The sequence below is a fragment of the Homo sapiens genome, chromosome 4 (genome assembly GCF_000001405.40).
Source record: "Homo sapiens chromosome 4, GRCh38.p14 Primary Assembly".
In the NCBI taxonomy this organism is placed as follows: Eukaryota; Metazoa; Chordata; class Mammalia; order Primates; family Hominidae; genus Homo; species Homo sapiens.
This window is the reverse complement of record NC_000004.12, coordinates 86,422,823-86,449,502: the sequence shown is the minus strand read 5'-3', so window position 1 is coordinate 86,449,502 and position 26,680 is coordinate 86,422,823. Positions and strand designations below refer to the sequence as shown.

Here is a 26,680-nt window from a genome sequence, read left to right as displayed (position 1 = left end):
TCATGTCATGGTACTATGGTAAATTGAAATATGAGTAAAGAAATATATTATTGAAACATATGAGTCACTGAAACCATTGGTGGTCTTAAATAAAGCACGCTTTAACTTGAATTTATGTTCTAAGTCTCTAAAATAAATGCGAGGTAAATGTTACCTTCATGACCATAAAGACATTTGTAGTGTTTTTTGGTTAGTACCTGCTGGTGAACTCAGAGCTTCAGATGATTTTGATGGATTATGGGAGCAAGACATTTTCACGGAGGATTAGATCTGGAGATTTAAAAATGACACTTGGAAAACAAGGAACAAACCACAGTCAGTTAGAACACGGGTCCCCAACCCCTGGGGCCACAGACTGGTACAGGAACTAGGCTGCACAGCAGGAGGTGAGCAGGGTCGTGAGGTGGGGGTGGTGCGGTGGGGGTGGCGAGCCAGCGATCCTCCTCTGTATTTACAGTTGCTTGCATTACCGCCTGAGCTCTGCTTCCTGTCAGATCAGCAGCGGCATTAGATTCTCAGAAGCAGGAACCCTATTGTGAACTGTGCATGCAAGGGATCTTGGTTGCACGCTACCTATAAGAATCTAATGCCTGATGATCTGTCACTGTCTCCTATCACCCCCAGATGGGACTGACTAGTTGCAGGAAAACAAGCTCAGGGCTTCCACTGATATTACATTATGGTGAGTTGTGTAATTCTTTCATTATATATTACAATGTAATAATAATAGAAATAATGTGCACAATTAAATGTAATGCACTTGAATCATCCTGAAGCCACCTCCCTGCTCTGCCCTTGGTCAGTGGAAAAATTGTCTTCCATGAATCCGGTCCCTGGTGCCAAAAATGTTGGGGAGTGCTGGGTTAGAAGCTGTAATGGAACAAAATGCCCTTTTATAATAGTAATAAAACATGAAATACCTAGGAATAAAGTTAACAAGAAATTTATAAGATCTACATTTAAAAAGTTAAAATATTACTAAAGAACACAAAGAATACTTTGACAAATGGTAAGACATATTATGTTCTTGGATAGGAAGTCTTACTATTACAAAACTGACATTTCTCTAGTTAATCCATAAATTTAAGATAAAAAAAAAAACCCAGAATTCTTTTTAATTAGACTAGTTGACTCTAAGATTCATATGGAAACATCATCAAGGAACAATAGACTAGAAAATTCTGACAAAAAAATAGAGAGAAAATTTAGGGAGGATTTGCTAGGCACATATTAATATGTATATGCTACATAAAGCTATATTAATTAAAAGTGTGGTACTAGTATATTAATGAAAAGGAAAGAAAGCTGTGAAATAGACTCTAATACAGGTTGGTTAAATAAAAATTGGTTTGTGAGAATAAGAATGTGTTTTTTTTGTGTATGTGTGTTTATGTGCTAAGTATTTACTAGGCTCTTTACATATTAACATAATCTAACTCCCACAAAAACTGTGTGAGATAGGAACCATTATTATTTTCATTTAGAAAAGGGGAAACTGAGACATAGAGAGCACAACTAACTTGCTTCTAATAAATAGAGGAGCTGGGACTGAAATTCATTTAATCATGCTCCAGAGCTGACATATTCTCTCATTAGGCTACACATTCCCCCATGCTTGTGGAATTCTAGGTAGGTGTAAAAAAGAAAGAATTAACTCTATATGTATTATACTGATAATCTAGATAATCTAGAGATACACACATATATGTATTTTTAAGATACACATTTTAGGAGAAAACTTCAAGGAATATAATAGTGTAGTATATTACCATTGTTGTAGAAAAACAAAATATATAAATGTTTACAATACATGGTTTATCTTCATAGATTCAAAAAAGAAAAAAAAAGCACCAGTGTTTGTATCGTGGGAGAGGAACTGAGTTGCTTGGAAGGAGGAAGGAGGAAGATTTACTGTTTATGTTTATCATTTTGTGTATTTTGAATTTTGTGCCATGTACATATACTCTATTAAAGAAAATAAGTTAAATAACAATAACAAAACCAGTAAACTCAGGGAAGAGTATTTTCAAGAACCTGGTTTATACAGTATGTGTATTAGTCCATTTTCACACTGCTGTAAAGAAATACCCAAGACTGGGTAATTTATAAAGGAAAGAGGTTTAACTGACGCACAGTTCTCCATGGCTCCAGAGGCCTCAGGAAATTTACAATCATGGTGGAAGGTGAAGGGGAAGCAAGAACCTTCTTCACAAGGCAACAGGAGAGAGAAGAAAGCAAAGCGAAGTGGGAAGAGCCCCTTAAAAAACCATCAGATCTCTTCAGAATTCTCTCACGATCACAAGAACAGCATGGGGAAAACTGCCCCCATGATCCAATTACCTCCCACCAGGTCCCTCTCTCAACACCTGGGGATTACAATTTGAGATAAGATTTGGGTGGTGATACAAAGTCAAACCGTATCAGTATATATTTACAAGTAGTTTGCTTCTGCTTATAAGGACAGTTTATGTTACAAACGTTTAACATGCAACATAAATAAGTGAAAAGATGAGTTCCAAAGACTGAGAGAAGGTATTCGTAACACACAGAACCAACAAATAATTATTATTTAGAATATATGAAGGACTCTTAAACATCAATAAAAAAAGACAAACACATGGGAAAAATAAAGATATGAACAGGTAATTCAAAGAAGAAGAAGTTCAGGAGAAGCACATGAAAAGATGATCAACCTTATTAGTAATTAGGGGGAGGCAAATTAAATGAGACACAGCATTTCACACCCCTAAATTTAAAAGTTTGACAGAAGTATCAGTAAGGATGGAGAGTAATAGCAAATATCATATCAAGAACTGCTGGTGGGAGTGCAAGTTGGCGCAACCACTTTGGGGAATAAATATAATGCTTAGCAGAGAGAGAGATGCCTTTGAAGACCTGTGATTAAATAATTCCATCCACATGTGCTCAGGGAGACAAGCACATGAATGTTTATAGTGGCATTTTTTTAAAATAAAAATATTTACTGGGGCTATGTGTGTCAGCTAATGCCTGTAATGCTAGAGCTTTGGGAGGCCAAGGCAGGAGGATTGCTTGAGGCCAGGAGTTTTCAACCAGCCAGAGCAACATGGTGAGACTCTCTCAAAAAATAAATAAATAAATTCTTGAATGTGTTAGGTAATGTAATTCTCAACTATTTTATCTTAGAATTTTTAATGCTTGGCAACTGATACCTATGGCATCTATGAAATGGACATTGCTACCACGATTTTACTTTATTTAGTAGTTACTCTAGAGTATGCAATGTCCATTTACAGCTAATCCAAATCCACTTTCAAATACATTTGAAAGTGAGCTATACTGCTTCACAGATAATACAAGTACCTTGTAACAATAATCGAGTATTTCTAATTCTTCCCTTCTGCCCTTTGTATTATGCCCTCCAGCGCCTTACTGTCATTCATTTCACTTCTACATAAGCTATAATCGATCATCAAATACATTATTTCTATTATTATTTTGAACAAACTGTTATCTGTGAGATCAATTAAGAATAAGAAAAATTAAGATTTTTTTCTTTACCTTTACCTGTTCCTTTATTCCTTCTCTAATCTCTTTCCTTTCTTTATGTAAATTTGAGTTTTTGACCTATATTATTTTTCTTCTCTCTGAAGACATTCTTTCAATATTTGTTGCAAGGCAGGTCTACTGGCAACAAATTCCCTCAATTTTTGTTTGAGAAAGCCTCTTACACTTTTGAAGGATTTCACAGGATCTGTTAGTAGTTTTATTTTCCCCTTCTACATACATACTTTAAATATTTAACCCTCGTCTTTTCTTGCTTGTGTGGCTTCTGAGAAGTCAGATGTAATTCTTATTTTTGCTCCTGTATAGGTAAAGTGTTTTTTCCCTCTGGCTTCTTTCTGTTTTTGTTTGTTTGTTTTTCAGTGTAAATTTAAATTTTTATTTTTAACCTTATTTTAAGTTCCAGGGCACACGTGTAGGATGTGCAGGTTTGTTACATAGGTAAATGTGTGCCATGGTGGTTTGCTGCACCTATCAATCCATCATCTAGGTATGAAGCCCAGCATGCATTAGCTATTTTTCCTGCTACTCTCCCTCCCCATGACAGGCCCCAGTATGTGTTGTTCCCCTCCCTGTGTCCATGTGTTCTCATTATTTAGCTCACACTTATAAGTGAGAACATGTGGTGTTTCATTTTCTCTTCCTGCATTAGTTTGCTGAGGATAATGGCTTCCAGCTCCATTCATGTCCCTGCAAAGGAAATGATCTCGTTTATTTTTATGGCTACATAGTATTCCATGGTGTATATGTGCCACATTTCCTTTATCCAGTTTATCATTGATGGGCATTTGGGTTGATTCCATGTCTTTGCTATTGTGAATAATGCTGCAATGAACATATGTGTGCATGTATCTTTGTAACTGAATGATTTATATTCCTTTGGGTATATACCCAGAAATCAGATTGCTGGGTCAAATGATATTTCTGGTTCTAGATCTTTCAGGAATCGCCACACTGTCTTCCACAATGGTTGAACTAATTTACATTCCCACCAACAGTGTAAAAGCATTCCTATTTCTCCACAGCCTTGCCAGCATGTGTTGTTTCTTGACTTTTTAATAGTAGCCATTCTGACTGGCATGAGATGGTATCTCATTGTGGTTTTGATTTGCATTTCTCTAATGATCAATGATGTTGAGCTCTTTTTTTATATATTTGTTGGCCGCATGAATGTCTTCTTTTGAGAAGTGTCTGTTCATGTCCTTTGCCCACTTTTTGATAGGGTTGTTTTTTTTTTTTCTTGTAAATTTGTTTAAGTCCCCTGTAGATTCTGGATAGACCTTTGAGAAATGGATAGATTGCAAAATATTTATCCCACTCTGTAGGTTGCCTGTTTGATCTGATGATAGTTTCTTTTGCTGTGCAGAAGCTCTTTAGTTTAATTAGAACCCATTTATCAATTTTTGCTTTTGTTACACTTGCTTTTGGTGATTTTGTCATAAAATCTTTGCCCTTGCTTATGTCCTGAATGACATTGCCTACATTTTCTTCTATGTTTTTTCTAGCTTTGGGTTTTACATTTAAGTCTTTAATCCATCTTGAGTTAATTTTTGTAAAATGTGTAAGGAAGGGGTCCAGTTTCAATTTTTTGAATATGTTTATCCAGTTCTGCCAGCACTATTTATTAAATCCCTCTGGCTTCTTTCAAAATTTTTCTTTATCTTTGATTTTCTGCCATTTGAATACGATTTTTGTAGTTTTGGGGCATTTATTCTGCCTGGTATTTTCTGAGCTTCCTGGATTTGTGGTTTGGTGTCTGACATTAATTTGGGGAAATCTTCAGGCATTATTGTTCCAGATATTCCTTCAGTTGCTTTCTCGCTTTCTTATTCTGGTATTTTCATTATGCATATATTACACCTTTTGTAGTTGTTGTGCAGTTCTTGGATGTTCTGTTTTTTGTTTTTTATTTTTCAGTCTTTTTTTTTTTAAATTTTCAGTTTCTATTGACATATCCTCAAACTCAGATTCTTTCCCAAAAACATTCTTCATTTCTAGTTCAGTGTTTTTGATCTCTAGCACTTTGTTTGGATTCTTCCTTATAATTTCCTTCCCTCTGCTTATATTACGCATCTATTCTTGCATGTTGTCTACTTTTTCCGTTTGTGCCCTTAGCAAGTTAGTCATAGTTGTTTTAAATTCATGGTCTGGCAATTGTAACATTCATGCCATGAGTCTTGTTCTGATGCTTGTTCAGTCTCTTCCAACTGTGCTTTCTGCCTTTTAGTGTGCCCTGGACTGTTTGCTGAAAGGTGGACGTGATGTACTGTGTAGCAGGAACTGCTAAAAATAAGCCTTTACTGATGTGGTGGTAAGATGCGTTTTGTGCGTGTGTGTGTGTTTGTGTGTGTGTGTGGTGGGAAAGGGCTCAATAGTCCTGTGATTAGGTCTCGTCTTTCAGCGAGGCTGTGCCCTTGGTCTGTGAACTTCACAAGTGCTTCTCGGTTCTCCTTGCACCCATCTTAGGTGGGACAGGATAGCTAGAGGGAGCTGGAGTTGGGTATTTTCTTTTCTCCACATGGAAAACTAGAGGGGACGGGAGTTGGATATTTTGGCTTCTGCAGGGTGGTTAGGCTCTGATAAAACTCTAGTAAGTTAGGGGCTGGTAAAATAGTTTCTCCTGAGGGCAGGCCTTGTTAAGTAGAGCAGAATGCTTTGGTGTATTTCAAAATGGTTACTTTCACCTCTCCCAGCTGGAAACACAAGGGAATTTTTTTTTTTTTCCATTTTCACTGTGAGAAGCTGATAGAGCTCCTGGAGGTAAAAATTGCAAAAGTTTGGGCATCCCCTCTAAGACTGAGTCTCCTTGGAGTTTTCAACACAAAAACTTATCTATTCAGAGCTGCCAGCAATTCCTCAATTCTAATTTAGGTTTTCCTGCTGGGGCACTGGTTCCCTCAGAGGTTTCTGCTCAGGGAAGTTGTGGTTCTCAGTGTCCCTGTCTGTCTCTTCAGGGCAGTGCTTTGCTCTGTGACCTCCCTTCTCTGATGGATCATAAAAGTGTTTGATGTTCAGCTTGTTTAGCTTTGCCTTGTTGTTAGAATGGTGTTTTTGACTTCTAAGCTCCTTACATGCTGGATGGAAAATGGAGTTCGGCTCAGTGGCGTTATTTTTATTAAAATATTGAAAAATCTGAAACATCCCAAATATCATTCGGAGAATGAATAATCAAATTATGGTATATTCATATCATGGAATACGGTAACACAGGTAAAGGAATGTACTGGATTTAAATAATTTAAGATTGTTCTATCACAGAAACAGAGTGGGAAAAAACAGATACAGAATGATACACAACAATACTATATGTTGTTTATGGATACATACATGTGTAAGTACAAAAATCTAACAGAAAGGTACATACCATCTTAGGATAGTGATTTCTTCTTCTGTGGATGTAGGGAGGAATTAAATAAGTGAGGAATAAAACAGAGACACCCACTATGTGAGTAATATTTTATTTCTAAAAAGAAGCAAATATTTAAAGCAGATACAACAAAGTACTAATACCTGGTGAGTATGTGTGACCTTAGGAAAGCTAATTAACCTCCAAGTGCTTATAGTTTTCTTTGCTTTCACATAGGGACAATAATATTTATCTCATAGTTGCCATTAGGATAAAATTAACTAATATATTTTTGAAAATTTTGTAATAAGAATGTAAATAAAATTACTATGAAAAAAGATTGAAATATTGAAATAATTTGAAAGACTTTGAAAAATAACATTATATGGATTATTATTGTCACAAGTTCTACCATATTCAACTCAAAGTAGACCACATAAATCTATTCGCATTCTTTACTCTAGCTGTCATTTTATTTGAAAAATGCCATGAATACATCTGCTTTTGGTGATCAGATGATCAAGAGAAAATGAAAAAATGAAGCATTAGTTGTATGTGTTCTGGAGGAGTCAGAGGCTAATTTAGTTTCCATCGGGATTTCCCAGGGAATGTACGAATTTTTGCTAAGCCTTTTTGATCTTTGTCTACATACTTTAATAACTCACAAAAAGATACCCCCCAGCCCCTTTTGTGACCCTGGATTGAAATAAACATCTTTTCAAAATGCTAGTGGAATTTACTACTGTTTCTATTCATTAACAAAATACCAGGAAGCAGCAGGAGAGGCTTCCATGGGGACAATAGGGGGAGCCTGGATGCCCCTGGAGTAGACAGATGCTTGTCCATCAAGTTTCTCCTCTGTCCCTAGTGTGGATGGGGTTTCTGCTCTGATTGACAGCCTAGTCCATGTTTTTTAAATCACTAGAGTCTTCATGGCATGTCAGGTTGCTGTGACCTTGCTTGAAATTGCTTTGAAAAGTACAGTGCTTTTGAATGACTTGGAAAATACCTTATGTTTAGGAAAATGCTTGTTTCTAGCTTTAAGCAAAAAGAATTCTACACAGTCATATGAACTATTTTAAAGCCATAGTTTGAAGCCTGAAATTTCTATTGTGAAATAGCATGTCCCTGGAACATGTGCTTTGTGGCTAAAAGGTTCATATGGTTTCTGTAACTACGCAATGCAAAAGTAGGTCTCTTTGAACCTAAACTGAGAGAAACTGTTGAAGCGTGAGTTACTCTGTGAACTCAATGCTTGCAGCAGAATACGAATAAGGGTATTTTAGCAATTCTGGGGCAGGCTTTGGGATGAATCAGAACATTGCCCTCTAGGTAAAAAATTCTCTATGACTAAGTGAAAATGCCTAGCTACTCCCAGGTTTACTTTGTAGAAACAAGACAGTCACACACACATTATATACATGCAAACATGCACATGAAAATACATCCCATTTCCTATATCTGGCAATGCTGAGGAATGAGGTTTTCTCTATACAAATGAAACCTAATCAATTAAATATAATAGTTTAATATTTTATATGAATCTGAAATCTTTAATCTACACCAAACACATTTTAAGTTTTTCTTGATGATTCATCCATCACTATTAATAATTAATTATGATGCTTTTATTTCTCTGTAATGCTTTGCTTGTATTCCTCCTCCTTCCCCATTACTAAAGCAATACTTGTTTCAGAAAATCAGAAAATACAGAGAGAAAAACATCAATTATTATATTTGTTACTCTGTGTAAATATTTCCGAACACCCACTCATATGCACACATGTAGTTAAGGAGGAACATGTAATACCTTTTGTGGTCTGCCTTTTTCTCTTAATGATTTATCATGAATACTTTTTAAAATATCAGTGGACTCATACCAGAAACATCATTTTAAATGACATATGCCACTGTATGGACATATTCTATTATATTTTATTTCAATAATTTCATATTGGACAGTTACATTCCTTTTTTTTTTTTTTTGAGACAGGATCTCGCTCTGTCACCCAGGCTTGAGTGCAGTGGTGTGATCAGCTCACTACAGCCTCAACCTTCTGGGCTCAAACAATCTCCCACCTCAGCCTCCTAAGTAGCTGAGACTACAGGCATGTGCCACCATGCCTGGCTAATTTTTTTATTTTTTGTAGAGACAGGATCTCACTTGCCCAGGCTGATCTTGAACTCCTAGGTTCAAAAGATATTCCTGCCTCATCCTCCCAAAGTGCTGGGATTACAGGCATGAGGGCACCTGGCCATGTTCAGCATTCTTATATCACAAACAACACTGAATGTACTTGTGTGTGTTGGCATGTATATGTGTATAAATATATATAGCTCTATGTTCCTTAATTAGTTCCTTATAATACATTATTAAATATGGAATTTGTAGTTCAAAGAACATGCCCATTTTTGAGAATTTTGATATGTTTTGTCAGCCAGGGCAAATATTCAGCTAGTATATCCTAGAGACACATATAGTCTATATCTTGTGTCTACTCTGGTTGTTTAGTGCCTGTGCTGTTTTGGTGATTAAATATCTTGAAATATTTATTTTTGCAAAACTATTTCAGAAGAAAAATTTGTATTCCCACTCAGCTTTACATTTTGAGGAGAGATGAGAGGATTTCCCTTAAATGTTTTTATATTTCTTCTCATATAAAAACAATCACCTAAAACTCAGGAAATGTTTGAACAGAAATTTTGGGGCTAGAAGGCTGATTTTTTTTCTTGGATTAAAATATATAATACTTAGTTATATTTGGACAGATACTTTACCAAAGAAGAAATGAGTTAGTACTAGACACCTATTGGATTGGCTAAAACAAAAAACAAGAAACAAACAAACCTGACTATACCAAGTAATAATAAGAATATGTAACAACTAGAACTCTCACACGTTGCTGGTAGGAATAAAAAATACTACAGACACTTTCAAAAACCGTCTGACAGTTTCTTTAACATTAAACATACACTTACAATATAACCCAGCAATTCTACCTTTAGGTATTTATCCAAGAGAAAGGAAAACGTCTGTCTACATAAGAACATATATGCAAATATTTGTAGTGGCTTTTTCACAATTGCCCCAAATTGGAAACAACCCAAATGTTCTCATCTGATGAATGGATAAAAAAGTGGTGGTACATCCATAAAGTGGAAGGCTACTCAGCAATAAAAAGGAATGAACTTATTGATGCACATAAGAATATGAATGAATATCTAATGCATTAATACTGAACAGGCTACATAATATATGATTTAATTTATATTTTAGAAAAGGGAAAATTATAGGAATAGAAAAGAGATTAATGTTTGCCAGAGGCTGGAGATGGGGTGAGAGGCTGACTTTAAAGGTGCACCATGAGGAAACTTTTAGGGTAAGAGAACTGATAAATATCTTAATTGTGGTTGCAGCTATATGACTATATGCATTTTTCAAAACTCATAGACCTGTACATCAAAAAGTGCTAATTTTACCATAGGTAAATTAAAAAGGCAAATAAAAATTTTTAAAAATGAAAATAAAAATAAAAATCTATTTTTAACAGGAAAAAGAAAATATCATGCTGAAACCTCTTGGCCACCATAAGAATGCACATTGCAGCCATCGAACCACAGTCAGCATGATTGACCAAAGGGCCCAGCTGCTGGCTTGAAATCCTTTGCTGCATTTGCTAGTGACTAGTTGGGATACTAAAGTAGGCCCATTCCTGGGAGTCACGGGGCTCCCCAGTGGCCTCATTGAAACTTCCTTAGACTACACCATAATGTGGTATGCTTCCACCCCTCCCTCCTTTCTTCCTTTGCTCGAGTCAGACTTGCATGGTAGTCTGATGGTTCCCTCAGTCTTACTGGCCCCCTCAATTTCTTTCACACAGGCATTTCCCAAAAAATCCTTGCATGTTTTTTTTTTTTTTTTTGAGATGGAGTTTTGCTCTTGTCACCCAGGCTGCAGTGCAAAGACACGATCTCAGCTCACTGCAACCTCCACCTCCTGGGTTCAAGCAATTCTCCTGCCTCCACCTCCTGAGTAGCTGGGATCATAGGCGCCTGCCACCACACCCAGCTAATTTTTGTATTTTTAGTACAGACAAGTTCTCACCATGTTGGCCAGGTTGGTCTAGAACTCCTGACCTCAGATGATCCACCCCCCTCGGCCTCCCAAAGTGCTGGGATTACAGGCATGAGCCACTGTGCCCAGCCCTTGCATGTTAAATCATGTCTTGGCAGATGCTTCTTGCAAGACCTGAACTAACACAACCTCCAATTTTACACTTTATAATATGATCATCATAAAGATAAAATGCATGATCATATTTTTAATTACTTTTACCCAATGATCTCTTTTATAAGCATATTTATTTAAGTATAACATACAATAAAGAAAGACATACTAAATGTAAGCACATGGCTGTATAAATTTTCAGTAAGCGAAATTGCCACCCAGATCAAGAATTAGAATATTAGTAGTAATTCATAATCCCTCCTCCCCCATTTATGCCCTCTATCAGTGACTAATTCCCTCTTGAAGGTAACCAATGCCCTGAATTCCTAGCATTATAGATCTGTTTTGCTTACTTCTGAACTTTATATAAGTGGCATCATTCAGCATATACTTTCATTTTTGTTTGACTTTTGAACAACATGTTTATGAGATTAAATCATGATAGTGTGTATAGCAGCACTTTCTTCCTTTTTTATTGTTATAGAATATTCCATTGAGTGAGCATAGTACAGTTTATTTATGCATTTTACTTTTGAGGGGCAATTATGTCTTTTCCCCCAGTTTTGTGCTGTACAGTTAATGCTGTTATGAGCATATTTGAACATGTCTTCTGGTACATGTATGTATTTATTCCTATTTGGTATATCACTAGGAGTAGAATTGTGAGATTATAGGTTATGCATATGATCAGCATAAAAAGATATGATAACAACTTTTCAAAGTGGTTATACTTTCAGCAGCTGTGTATAAGAATTCAATTTCCTCTGCAACCTCATCATTCATACTTGATATAAAATTGACAAAGACACAACAGTAAAGGAAAATTATAGGCTAATCTTTCTCATAGACATAAAATCTTAAGTTATTAGCAAATAGAATCTAGCAGCCTATAAAAGATAGTATATCATAACCCATGATGTGGGTTTCCTTGAACGCAAAGTGGGCTTGGCATTTGAAATATCAATTTATGTAATTCTGCACAAATAACAGAATACAAGAGAAAAATCATTTAGTTATCTAAATAGAAGAAAAAAAGCATTTGATAAACTATAATATCCCATCAAGATTTAAAAAACCACTCAGCAAACAGAAGAGAAGAGAGCTTCCTTAGTTTAATGAAGAATATCCATAAAACATCTGGGGCAAACATCATTTTTTTTTTTTTTTTTTTTGAGACAGAGTCTCACTCTGTCGCCCAGGCTGGAGTGCAGTGGCGTGATCTTGGCTCACTGCAAGCTCCACCTCCCAGGTTCACGCCATTCTCCTGCCTCAGCCTCCCGAGTAGCTGGGACTACAGGTGCCTGCCACCACGCCTGGCTTATTTTTTTTGCATTTTTAGTAGAGATGTGGTTTCACCGTGTTAGCCAGGATGGTCTCGATCTCCTGACCTCGTGATCTGCCCACCTTGGCCTCCCAAAGTGCTGGGATTACAGGCATGAGCCACCAGGCCTGGCCAAACATCATTTTTAATGGTGAAATATTGAAAACTTTTTCTCTGATGTAAGCAAATACACAAGGAGATGCCTTTTATCATCACTTCTATTTAATTTTTTTATGTGAGGTCCCTACCAGGGAAATAAGGCAAGAAAAATATAGGTATTGGGAAGGAAGATATAAAATAATCATTTTTCTATCTTCATATATCTTGATATATTAACTATACAACAGTCAATATTATATCTTTATATCACAAGTGACATGACTGGATACATATGAAATCCAAGAGCTCCCACAACTAAATTTTAGAATTAAGTACATTTAGCTAGGTTGTTGGGTACAAAGTCAGTATATAAAAGTAAATTTTATTTCTACACATCAGCAACAAAACTATTAGAATATGAAAATTTAAAAAACAATTAAAAAATACATCAAAAAAAGGCTACATTGGTGCCTATACTAAATGACCATCGATTGCCATGTGTTTGCTGTCTTGTCAAAGTTTTGATAGTTTTCCTATCTCTTAACTCACTGGGTTGTTAGCTACAATTTCTTTTGCTATCATTATGCTTGCTTCTAACTGTAACTTATTTTAGTAATTTTCTGCCTCAAATGTGCTACGATTGGAAAATCAATAAAAACATAAAATGACTAAAAATGATTGTAATAAAACTAAAAGGATTTTAGTGCTCAGACTTTGTGAGTTTCATTTTGGCCACCCAGGAGTTACTCAGAGCCCTTTACACTTATATTCAGGGTCTAGTGTTGCTCAAAGTGACTGAGGTTGCCAGAAGTATAAACTCCAGGGAAGAGGGGTTATGAACTCTCCAAGTTCCCTGCTTGAATAGGACTTTCCTCAAAGTTTTCTCTGAAGTTATTTCATCTTGAAAGGTAAAGAAAAAAAGAAGTTGATTTCAGCTTCTGTATAGGAATTTTTAACAAAATATGATTACCTTTTTTTGGGCAAATGTTTGGTATAAATTAATCAGTAAGTTTGTGGTTAGATATTGACTTTGATATGATTTAATATACACAATGATTTTTAGACAAAGTTGCACTGGCTATTGTTAGTCCTGGAAGGTTTTGTTTCTAATATTAGCTGAATTTGGCTCAGCTCAATAAGTAAGATTACAGCCAAATAAATACTATTAACTAAGTAAGCCTATAATTATCAAAACTGCACTCCAGAAATTGGGTTTTAGAGGATTAATTCAGTGAGCATTGAGTCTATAGCTGACCTAACAGCCAGAGCAAAAGTGACTAATCAGAAGGTAGCCTTTGCTGGTTGACAGGAGCTAATGGGGCTGCATTATTAAATATTTGAGCTCTAGTCATGGCCTGTGGGTGCTCTGATGGCATCACATATTTTCTTTTCTTTTTTAAAAAAATTATTCTTTTTTATTAAGGTAAAATATACATATAAAATTTACCATCTTTGCCTTTTTTTTTGTGAGATGGCGTTTTGCTCTTGTTGCCCAGGCTGGAGTGCAATGGTGTGATCTCGGCTCACTGCAACCTCTGCCTCCTGGATTTAAGCAATTATACTGTCTCAGCCTCCTGAGTAGCTGGGATCACAGGCGCCTGCCACGATGCCCGGTAAATTTTTGTATTTTTAGTAGAGACTGGGTTTCATCATATTGGTCAGGCTGGTCTCGAACTCCTGACCTCAGGTAATCCGCCCGCCTCAGCCTCCCAAAGTGCTGGGATTACAGGTATGAGCCACTGCGCCTGGCCTCATCTTTGCCATTTTTAAGTGGACAGTTCAGCAGTTATAACTACCTTTATATTCTTTTTTTCCCTTTCATCCCCTGGCCCCTTCCTGGCCTCTGGTAAGCACCAATCTACTCTCTATCTTCATGAGATTCACTTTTTAAGATCCCGCATATGAATGTGATATTTGTCTTTCTGTGGTTGGCTTATTTCACTTAATGTAATGACCTCCAGTTTCGTCCATGTTGCTGCAAATGATCAGATATCATTCTTCTTTATGTCTGAGCAATATTCCATTGTGTATATAGATCATATTTTATTTATCCACTCATTCATTGACAGACACAGGTTGATCCCATGTTTGGTTATTGTGAATAGTGCTGCAATAATCGTAGGAGTACAGATGTCTCTTCAATACACTGATTGCCTTTCTTTTGGCTACATACCCAGCAATGGGACCGCTGCATCATATGGTAGTTCTATTTTTTGTTTTTTGAGGAACCTTCCTACTGTCCTCCATAGTGGCTGTACTAATTTACATTCTCATCAACAGCGTACGAGGTTTCCCCTTTCTCCACATCCTTGCCAGCAACTGTTATTGCCTGTCCTTTTGATACAAGCCTTTTAACTGGTGTGAGATGACATTTCATTGTGGTTTTGATTTGTATTTCTTTGATGGTTACTTACGTTGAGCAGGTTTTTTATATACCTGTTGGCCATTTGTATACCTTCTTTTGAGAAATGTCTGTTCAGATCTTTGGCACATGTTTAAATTGGTTATTTGTTTTTATGCTACAGAGTTGTTTGAGTTCTGTACATATTCTTGTTATTAATCCCTTGTCAGATGGATAGTTTGCAAATGTTTTCTCCCATTCTGTGGGTTGTCTCTTCACTTGATTGTTTCCTTTGCTGTGCAGAAGCTTTTTAGCTTAATGTGATCCCATTTGTCCATTTTTACTTTGGTTGCTCATGCTTTCTAGGTCTTATACAAAAACTCTTTGCCCAGACCAATGGTGCATGATAGGGGGTCTAGTTTCATTTTTCTGCATATAGTTCTCCAGTTTTCCCAGTATCGTCTATTGAAAAGACTGTCCTTTCCCCACTGCATGTTCTTGGTACCTTTGTCACCATTTCTTTTCTGTTTAGATTCATGGCGTTAAAGTTTATTGACTACAACTCAATGTCAAATATATATTTTACATCATGACTCTATATTCTGAGTCACATACATACACATCAACTTGCATATATATAGTGGAAATAAAGTTTCAATGGAAAAAACGCTTTTCTCCATGTGATACGTGTGGAGAGTTTCTATTCTATTGTAATTTGTTACATTTTGTTTAAGAAATGGGAGTGGTAGCTCCCTAAATTGATTTCATGGCTCATTCATGTGTCATGAGGTTCAGCTGAAAAACACTAATTTAGATGACTTGAAGGGTCAACCTTCCTCCTTCAATGCTCCCTTGAACTAGAGCCTTGGACTGGGCACAGCTCGGCCTAGTCGTGGTCCAGCAGTTTTTAAAGAAGGCCTAGGCTGGGTGCGATAGTTCATGCCTGTATTCCCAGCAGCTTGGGAGGCTGAGGTGGGAGGATCACTTGAGCCCAGGAGTTTGAGACCAGCCTGGGCAACATGGTGAGACTCCATCTCTATAAGACAAAAAAAAAAAAAAAAAAAAAAAAGAAGAAGGCCCAGACTGTGATAATATTTTGATCCTGGACCACACATAGGAGGGAGGAAAAAAGTTAAGCAAGAATGTGATCTCAGTTGAAATCTAGTTTCAGGATAATTCCACAGGGAGTTCTAGAGTATTAATTGCACCAAAAAGTTGATCATGCCTTCAGGAAAGGAGTCCAACCTTTTGTATTTTGGTATTAGCTGCAGGTTGGCTCCAGCTGGGGGTCCTGGAGGGCCTAAAACCTCAGAGTGGGGCCTGCAGCATGGGGGTTGGGGAGGCAGCTCCTGTTGTCCAAGGGCAATTACCAAAAGAAAGGGGGCAAATGTGGGCATCAATGGAGTAAAGGGATGTAGGTAGGGGGCATCAACAGTGCCTGATGCAGCTTGCTCCTTGCACTGCTGAAATCCACTTGCTTCTCATATTAACCTCCCTCTGTACAAGTGTGGTTTCTCCAGAATTCTGGCTGGTTACAATTTCTGGAAAAATCTACAAGAGGAGGGTTAGTGGGACAAACTACAGCCCCTGTTGCTACAGTTGATCCTGAGACCATAATTAGTACTCATTATCTTCAGCTTTTACCCTTTGTTCTACTTCCTCCCTCCCACAGGTATGAGCTGGCTAGATGGCCTTTGGTTATGCAAATTAAGGATTATTCTTGTTGGCTGCCTATTTCTCTTTCCCAGAAGAACTTTATGCTTTGTTTGCCATCTCCATTGATCCCTGTGAGTCAAGCCATCTGCCCTTGTTGCCCATTATGGTAACTGTGCCTATCTTGCCACTGAGGATTGATTGCCACCACCTGGCTTTGTTGTTTTGGGCTCCTCTCATTCCCACTACAAGTAGTGAGTGCAGTTCTGTAACAAGTCCTATCATTGGATCCAGCCCTTAGGCCACTCCCTAATGAAGTTCCTGCATGGAAATCTCCATCTTAGAGTCTGTTTTCTGAAGACCCAATTTGTGAGAAACAAAAATGAAATCCTGGCTGGGCATGGTAGCTCATGCCTGTAATCCCAGGACTTTGGGAGGCCGAGGCAGGCAGATCACCTGAGGTCTGGTGTTTGAGACCAACGTAGCCAACGTGGTGAAACCCAGTCTCTACCAAAAATACAAAAATAAAATTAGCTGGGCGTCCTGGTGTGCACCTGTAGTCCCAGCTACTGGGAAGGCTGAGGCACCAGAATCACTTGAACCCAGGAGATGGAGGTTGCAGTGAGTGGAGATTACACCACTGCACTCCAGCCTCAGTGACAGGGCAAGATTCCATCTCCAAACAAAACAAAACAAAACAAACAAACAAGCAAAAAACAATTCTTATGCCCCCAACTGACTGAATGGGCCTCTTCTTGGCCCAGGGGACCCCAGAAAAACCTTGAAAACTGAGTTCCCAGTGAAAATGGGATGGGAGGTTGGACCCATCTCATTAGACCCTCCTGGCTAGCTAACCACCATTAGGCTTTCTTCTCTAGGGGCTACACAGAAATCAGCTTTTTAAAAAGACTCTGCCATTGACATCAACCCACTGCCTGATGCTGCCTCTCCTTTTGGATTTCAACAAAACATCTGACCAGCATTCCTTCCTAATAAAAGACCGCTGTCCATGAAGTGGTTCTGGGCAGTGTAAGGAGGATACACAGAGAGAGTTTTCATGTCCTCTGCTTCACCTTTTGACATCATAGGGCTGAAAACTCCACCCTCGGATCATGCTAATATTGCCATTTTTTTAAACACGGGTCCCATGGAGAGGCATGAAGCTCAATGCGAATGCACATGTTTCTCTTTTCATAACACGACTCTTCCTATAGCTTAGTAAATATGTATATTTGGCCATCCTGCTCAGCATAAATTCCTGTTTCCTTTACTCCTCCCTTGAAGTGCTTGTTTCTAGCTTCTGACCAAAGGCTACGCTGACCAGCCTGTCAGAATGGCCACTCTGCTGGCTGCAAACTTTAACAAGGAGTAAAGCTCCTCTTTCTAATTTAGTTGATACCTGCAACACTGGGTTAAGCCAAATTAAATACTATTTCTATATTTAGGATTTTGTATGTATTTTATGGGAGAATACAATGTGAATTTCCATGAATATAATATAAAATATTTTGTAGAAATTCTGTTTTGTCAGATGACACTTGTCTAAACTGCCAAACTGGCATTCACTTGGACCCTCAATGTTGTCAATATTTTAAGTGAAAAATATCAGTCATTTTAATGTTTAATTCTCTTGTCATGAATATCTTTTCATGTTTATAACGTTTATATATCCTTTTTATTAAACTGTTTATTTGTTCCCATTTTAAAAATTGATTTGTTAGTCTTATTGATGTATAGAAGTTCTTTATATATTATTGGAATTAGCTCTTTGCCTGGTATGAGTGTAAAATATTTTTTCTTAATTGTCATTTGACTTGAAACTGTTAAAAGGTTATCTTCCTTTTCTTTTTTCTTTTCTTTCTCTTTTCTTCCTCCTTTCCTCTCTTCCTCTCTCTCTCCTTCTCTTTCTTGCTCCTTTCCTTCTTTTCTACCATCTTTTCTAGCCTAAGCCATTGCAATAGCCTTCTTATAATAATAGCCTGGCTTTTATTCCTGTTTCTGTCAGTTTTTTCCCCATATAAACAGCCAGAATAATTTTTGAAAAGCATACGAATATTTCACACAACTGCCTCAAATATTTCAATGGTTTTTCCGTTGTTCTCAGGGTAAGGTCCTATATTGACTTACAAGACTTCTCTGATCTGGCGCCCCATCTACCTCTGTAGCCTCGTTTGCAGCCACTTTCTGTATCGTGACGTTTTTTCCCTTTTCCTCTAATGTGCCAGTCCCCTTTCCTCTCAGGGCCTTCACATGTACTGCCACACCTCTTCATTCACCTATAATTTTGACTGGACAATTTTTTGTTCTTTAGGTCTTAGCTTAAATGGCGCTTTTGTAGAGACAATTTTTGTACTCCTTAGATTATATGCCTTTCTTGCAATCCTATAATAGCCTTCATAGCTCTTGACCCAACTCTATGGTATATAACTACTCGTTTATTTAAATATCGGTATCTCCTGCCAATGTCTAAACTTTGCGCTGTCAGGAATTCTCTCTCTCTCCTTTTGTATTTCTAGCACCTACCAAAGGGCCAAACACACAATGGATACTTGGTAAATAATTGTTTAAAATATATTGGTTGAAGGAAAGAAAAAGACTTGAGAGTTGGGCGGTAGACAAAGACTTTAGTACCGTGCCAATGAATTCATACTTTATGCTGTAGAAAATGAAAACCATTGATACATTTAATAACATGGACCAGTTTTATGTTTGTTTTATTCTTCCTTCTCTTCTTATAGAATGTTGGATTTTCAATCAATAATTATTCTTGAGTATTCTTTCATATGACCAGGAATCTACATGGGTACGTAGTAGGGCATCTTTAAATCCTTAATGAAAATGGAGTGCATTCTTTCATCATTGGTCATGGGACTTGATTTTAAAGGTATATCTATATATACCTGACTTTTTAACTTAAAGCAAATAATTCTTAAAAGAGACTTGCCATTTCTTATCGATACTCTCCCAACCAAAAATAACTTCAATGGTCTGAGCCATATCACAATATTTTATGAAATAAGTTAATATTACAGTATTAGAGAATCACAGATTTTAATGGTAATGGTATACTCAATGATATTTTTGTGAAGAAAGGAAAACACATATGTGAGTATCAGGTACTGAAAAAAAAAGTTATGTGTTTTACCTTTTTTTTTTTTTTAAACAGAGACAGGATCTAGTTCTGTCACCCAGGCTGGATGGAGTGCAGTGGCATTATCATAGCTCATTGCAGCCAGAAACTCCTGTGCTTGAGTGATCCTCCTGCCTCAGCCTTCCCAATGGCTGGGACTACAGGTATGCACCACCATGCCTAGGTAATTTTTTTATTTTTTGTAGAGGTGGGGTTTCTTTATGTTGCTCAGGCTGGTTTTGAACTCCTGGCCTCAAGGAATCCTCCTACCTTGGCCTCCCAAATGTTGGGATTACAGGCATGAGCCATTGTGCCCTGCCTGTTTTATATTTTGTAATCTAAACAATTATTAGATAATGATCTAATTATATATGATAATAACAGAATAATAAACAGAAAAGATATCTCTGTGCTTCTCTGCTCAGTAATCTTTTTTAATAATATTAGGACTTGCCTTCATTTATGTAATGTTTTTCATGTTCAAATTGCTTAACCAAAATTAAGTAATTAATCCTTATAAAATTCTGCAAGGCAGATAAGAATTATCTTCATTTTACAGATTAAGTCGAATGTACCATATTCCAAATGATTAAGGCTTCGAAATCTCCGATACCAAATGGTCTATGTTCCCCTGGAAGCATGTGGAAACCTAAATTTACATAGTAATTATGTGTTCAATTGTGCTGAGGAAGCAAGCGGCAGGCCCAGATAATCTTCCAAAAAAGAAAGAAAGAAAGAAAAATATTGATAATATACCAAAAATGAGTAATGTGGTTTTTAAAACCTTGTTCAATGATAATATTATTATTCACATATAGCGATTCTTCAGAAGTCCTCCTATGCTAAAAACAAAAACAGAAAAACCCCGCAAGAACCTTGGTAAATGCTAATGTTTTATGCAGAGAATAAATTCAATAGGATGATGAAATTTGCATCTTGAAAGATGAAAAAGGATCCTCAGTCTATTTGGAGATAATGATGATGTACAGCTATTTCCTTATCATTTAGTACATAAATTCAAGTATTGGGCTGTATTCTGCTTACTGTGAATATGCCTTGTGGGTGAGGAGAATTTGTGTTAAAAAAAGAAATTGTGAAATGTTAATAAGAATGTAATTCCTTAGCCTTACATTGTGGAAGGACTCTGATAAATATACCATTTCTATTTTTGAAAAAACATAGCACTTTTCTCAAGGCAGAGGGACAAGTCATAATTGTCAGTCAAAAAATGAGAAAAGTTGTCTATCTATCTGTCTATCTGTCTATCTATCTATCTATCTATCCATCTTAGTTTTCCCAAAACAGAAGATTCTAGTCAACCTGAGTCAGCATAACAGGAAAGTCCCCTCTGTTTTAACCCTATATAAAGAAAGTAACTTTGACGGCCAGGTATGATGGCTCATGCATGTAATCCCAGCAGTTTGGGAGGCCAAAGTGGGAGGATTGTTTGAGCACAGGGGTTCAAAACCAGTCTGGGCAACATGGTGAAACCTTGTCTCCACAAAAAATACAAAAACAAAAAATACAAAAATTAGCCAGGCATGGTGGCATGCATCTGTGGTCCCAGCTACTGGAGAAGCTTAGGTGGGAGGATCATTTTAGCCTGAGAGGTTGAGGCTGCAGTGAGCCGTTATTGTACCACTTTGCTGCTCCAGCCTGGGCGACAGAGCAAAAAGACCTTGTCTCAAAAAAAAAAAAAAAGTAACTTTGAAAACACCAATCTGCTTTTTGTTCTCTGCTTCTGCTTTCTTCAGCCCTTTTTCTGCCCATAAAGTCAACCTCATCTGCTGAGCTCAATGGAGCACTCATTCTACTTTACAGAATAAGGTGTTGCTGATACTAGAAGTCAAAATAAAAGCCAGCTAGATTTTTATTGTAATTTTGTCTTTTGACAGAGCTAAAAAAAGATCCAGGTAAGTTAAAATACCAGAAAACAGTAGTTTTCAAGATGAGAAGGTGTGGCCCGAATTAAAGTATTTGAAGTCTTTATAATAATTGAGAGGAGGGAAAAATTATATCTTCTGATATTAAGATAGCTATACATTTTGTATTTTAGGTCACTCACTAAAGAACAGAAATAAAGTATAAAAATTTTAACATATTTGAAGAAGAGAGATGAAATGAGAAATTTGTTTATAGAAGTTAGTCCAACTCTTTTAACCTGTCAATATAAGTTAGAGAATGCTATGTAATCTGTCATGTCTTGAAATGAAACATTTTAATCCTCTTCCTCTTCCATCTTTTCCTTTTCTTTTTCCTTTCTGCTTTCCTTAAACATTCATTGGGCACCTGATGTGGGATAGAACTTAGGTCCTATGGATTCAGAGATAAATGAGACAAAGAAGGAAGGAAGAATCTGATGAAGACAAGAAACGCATCCTTTTGATTGAGGGAGATATGAGTGGGGTTTCAATGGGGAAACTATGGTAGTCAGAGGAGAGTAGGAGGCCACTAGACTCGTCTTTGGTTAGCTACCAAAGGTGAACGTTGCATCGTTGAGAGAGTGACATAGATAATCTGCATTGACTTGGAAACCATATTTGATCAATTAATGCAGCTTTAATTTTTTTTTTTTTTTTTTTTTTGAGACAGAATCTTGCTCTGTCGCCCAGGCTGGAGTGCAGTGGCGCGATCTCGGCTCACTGCAAGCTCTGCCTCCCGGGTTCACGCCATTCTCCTGCCTCAGCCTCCTGAGTAGCTGGAATTACAGGCACATGCCACCACACCCGGCTAATTTTTTTGTATTTTTAGTAGAGACGGGTTTCACCGCGTTAACCAGGATGGTCTCGATCTCTTGACCTCGTGATCTGCCCGCCTCAGCCTCTCAAAGTGCTGGGATTACAGGCGTGAGTCACTGCGCCCGGCCATAGCTTTAATTTTTTTTTTCAAAAAAAGTGATAGAGTCGAAAAGATAAAAAATTAGGCACTGACTTTCTGCAGATGATTTTTCCTTCCCTAGCATTTATAGAATACTTTTTATGTGCTAAATACTTTACATTCATTAAACCACTTTATTCTTTCAAATGAAATATGAGGTAGGTACTAGTATTATTTCTATTTTAAAGATGGGCAAATTCAGGCTAAACTAGGTAAAATGACTTGCACAAGAGCTATCCGATTCCAGGACGTAGGAACAGAAAGGGATCCATGCTCGAATAAGTTTGGGATATACAGGATTAAAGATATTTAGCATGCAACTTTCCTGATGTGTTTTTCAGGTACTTTATGAGTTCCCTAAAAGGGTGCTGCAGTATGTAACATTTTCCCAACTTGTGGAACTGGTGGGTTGAACCAACACAACTTTTAGGACGGAATCTAAATGCAAATTTATTTTGTCTCCCACCATTCCTCTAAAATTTTTTCAGAGGAGATGTACTTCTCTAGCCCCTGGCTGAAAACTTGAAAAGGCCAGATTTTCTGATCACCCAGTAATAAAATGTTTCATTTACTTCAAGTAGAAAACAGCATCTTAGTTGGGAATTTGCATGTTAGGGTAAAGTTCACAATCTGCTTGCATTTTTATTCTGAAAAGGATTTAAGCATCCAATCCATAGTGGCAGACCAATTATCTCGAACATAAGCATCTTAAAGATTATAATAAAAATAACATTTAAAGAAAAGGAAAATTTTAGCGTTGTATTCAGTAAACATTACATTTGCATACTTCACAGTAATATAGCATACTGTAAAGTGAAATAATGTAAGCAAAATAAATATCCATAATTAATTAGTTTCTTCAGATGAAACAGCGAGAGGCCAAAATACTAAAAAGGAAATAAATACAGAGACTTTTTGAAACAAACATTTGAATGAGAGAATCCTTAGCATAGCTTAGTGTAGACTGAATCACAGAAAAGGATCTTTTCTTTTTGAGACAGAGTCTCTCTCTGTCGCCCAGGCTGGAGTACAGTGGCTCAATCTCGGCTCACTGCGACCTCTGCCTCCCAGGTTTGAATGATTCTCCTGCCTCAGCCTCCTGAGTAGCTGGGATTACAGGCATGTGCCACCATGCCCAGCTAATTTTTGTATTTTTAGTAGAGACAGGGTCACCTTTTTGCCCAGGCTGCTCTCGAACTCCTGGCCTCATGTGATCCGCCTGCCTTGGCCTCCCAAAGTGTTGGGATTACAGGCGTGAATCACTGCGCCCGATCCTTAAATAAATTAAGGATCTTAATTTATTTGTGACATATATTTAAAATATAGCTCTCTGTGACATTTGTGACATTGCTGTGGAATAAACGAGTTCAAATGGAGAAGAGAATCCATAGGCTAAGCAAACTGCTTAAGTCATACAATTGGATGGTTTAAAGAAGGTCTTAGAAAAACTGAAATCTCCAAACAAACAAAACAAAACAGGTGTGTTTGTAGTAGTCTAGTGAAAATATTAAAGCCTAAAGTTTTTTTTTAATACAGAAAAATAGAAAATTACCTGGAGTCATTTTATATAATATATACATGTCATATCTTTTATATGTTTTCAAACTTTGTAAAATGGCTAAACAAATACATGTAGCTTCTAGTAGAGATACATTTTATGATTAGAAATAATGTTGGTACTACTATTCTTTTTGCTTTAAGACCACCACTGTAATATATACTGTTAAACCAACAAGAACTGTTTTGTGAAATTAAACTCCGTTAGGAGAAAAACAGGTTTTGTAAGTCCTTATTCTTCCAATGCCTTCTCTGTTGTCAGTCCCTCCACATGTTGATTCTTTCTTTGCTTGACTTTCAAGACTCTAAAAGCCTTTCTGCCTCTGTCACTCCTCTATCTCCTTGCTGGTTATACTTCTTCCTCTTGACCTTGAACACGGAATTTGGTCCTTGACATTCTGCTGTTTCTTCACAATGGTCTTTCCTTAGGCAGTTCACTGAGATGCTCCTCAAATCCACCCTGGCCATGACATTTTCCTCTGAGATTTATTTCCCTATCTCTATCTGCCAGCTGGACATATTTCTTATGGTCAATTATGCTTGAATTACTGGAGTCAGCTTTAGCTTTTCTCTCTTGTTTGTCTTCATATCAAATTAGTCACAATTCTTCTTTTCTGATTCATCTTTTCAGATTAGCAGGAGTCCAAAGCCCTGGACCTATGCTACCCTCATGATTTCCCTCATGATTATGCTACCCTCATGATCATGCTACCCCTCATGATTTCCTAGACATGAGGGGAGGGTGGGCTTGTGAAGGAGACCATGCATGATTCAAGAGGGAGATTCCCAGGGTGAAGCCCAAATTGAGAGCAGGCAGCCAGCCTAACTATGACTCCTTCACAAACAGACTAGGCAGAGTGTGAGAACCTAAGTTGAGTCAAATTGGTGGAAACAGGGACATAAGACTTGAAGAAGTTGGCCAGGTACGGTGGCTCATGTCCGTAATCTCCCAACACTTTGGGAGGCGAGGGGAGCAGATCACTTGAGGTCAGGAGTTCAAGACCAGCCTGGCCAACGTGGTAAAACCCTGTCTCTACTAAAAATACAAAAATTATCTGAGCGTGGTGGCAGGTGCCTGTAATCCCAGCTACTTGGGAAGCTGAGACAGGAGAATCGCTTGAACCTGGGAGGTGGAGGTTGCAGTGTTCGAGATTGCGCCACTGGGCAACAGAGCGAGACTCTGTCTCAAAATAAATAAAAACAATAAAAATTAAAAAAAGATTTGAAAAAAAAAGACTTGAAGAAGTCGGTCTGAACTGGAGTGTGGGAAGCAAAGTTGGTGGAATTCCATGAGCTGTCAGAACATCACCATACATATTATTTAATAGCCCATGGACTAAAACACCTTAGATATTTTTATAATGCATCTTCAGCCTTATAAATGGAATGATCTCTTACAGGCACTTCTTCTACATATGAATATTATAATAATCTCCTAATTGGTTTTTGGATCTCAAATCTTTACCTTTACTCTATATCTTGTAGTAACTTTTAGGTTACTTTCCTTAAAACACTTTCTTTATCTATGCCTATTCCCTGTTCAAAATTACATTGACTCTCTTTTATCCATGAGATAAAAATCATTTGCCTGGCAATGGAAGCCTCCTAAACATATATATATATATATATATATATATGTATATATATCCCACTAATTACTTATATGCAGCCCTCATTCCAGGGAAACCAGGCTACTTAGTACTCATAACACACAATAGGTGAAGTCTCACACCATTCTCATGCTATTCCTATATTAATGCCCCTTCACAAAAAATAACCCCCTCAGTTTTCTTTGCAAGTATAAGGCCTCCAGATTTCCTAGGCCACATTAAAACCTGTCTACACTTTCTTCTGTAACTTACCAGCTAACTGCCATAGCCATTAAGGACAACCACAGAATTTGTAACAGCCACTGCCACCATTTGTTTAGTTTTATTAAATGCTGAGTACTTTACATACATTAGCTGGTTTAATGTCTTATTTATTCCTTATTTGTTATTACTAAATTCTTTGTGTCCTCAGAGCCTAAACATGGTATTATGCATATAACAGAGAGTCATAATTTACTGATGTTTGTATTGATGTGCCAGCATTTTAAGAATGGGAAGGCCATTGGAATTTGGCTATTTAAATTATTTTCTTCTACCTAGTTTCACCTGAATTTTTTTCATAGAAATGTTTATATGATAATAATGAGGAAAATTCTTAGAATGCTGCTATCTCAGAATGCCTTTTGTCTCCATAATTGCTTCTCCAGGTAATATATGTTGTACCCTAAGGTATTTTGACTGCATTGTGATGCTAATGTATATGTAAATATCATAAAGGGAATATAACTACCATGCTCATTTTAGTTGCATGAAGTGAGGGTTCAGGAAAGGAGAGAATTAATGTCTGCCAGTGGAAAATAATAAAGCTAATGAGAAAATAAACTTTACCTTTCAACCATCATAAAGTCCATTAGCAAATAACAACAAAGACTGGAGAAAGAATTAAAATTCATTAAAAAAAATCTTGTGCTCTCCTTAATGTGTTTTGCTTCCTAATATAATTCCTGTTTGCTACGATTTTCCACTTTTCGTTAT

The 26,680-nt window shown here is 37.1% G+C and overlaps 1 protein-coding gene across 6 annotated transcripts in view, besides 1 other annotated feature; it reads left to right on the top strand.

Moving 5' to 3' along the window:
- Positions 1 to 26,680, top strand: part of MAPK10 (mitogen-activated protein kinase 10) — a 583,670-nt gene that overhangs the window by 144,572 nt on the left and 412,418 nt on the right. The gene's annotated exons all lie outside the window — the stretch shown is intronic.
- Positions 16,308 to 16,850: an enhancer, noted in NCBI's record as "NANOG hESC enhancer chr4:87353806-87354348 (GRCh37/hg19 assembly coordinates)". NCBI's record gives its function as "activates a minimal SCP1, AML or CMV promoter by ChIP-STARR-seq in naive H9 embryonic stem cells {active_cell/tissue: H9 hESC(naive)}" and the evidence as "EXISTENCE:reporter gene assay evidence [ECO:0000049][PMID:30033119]".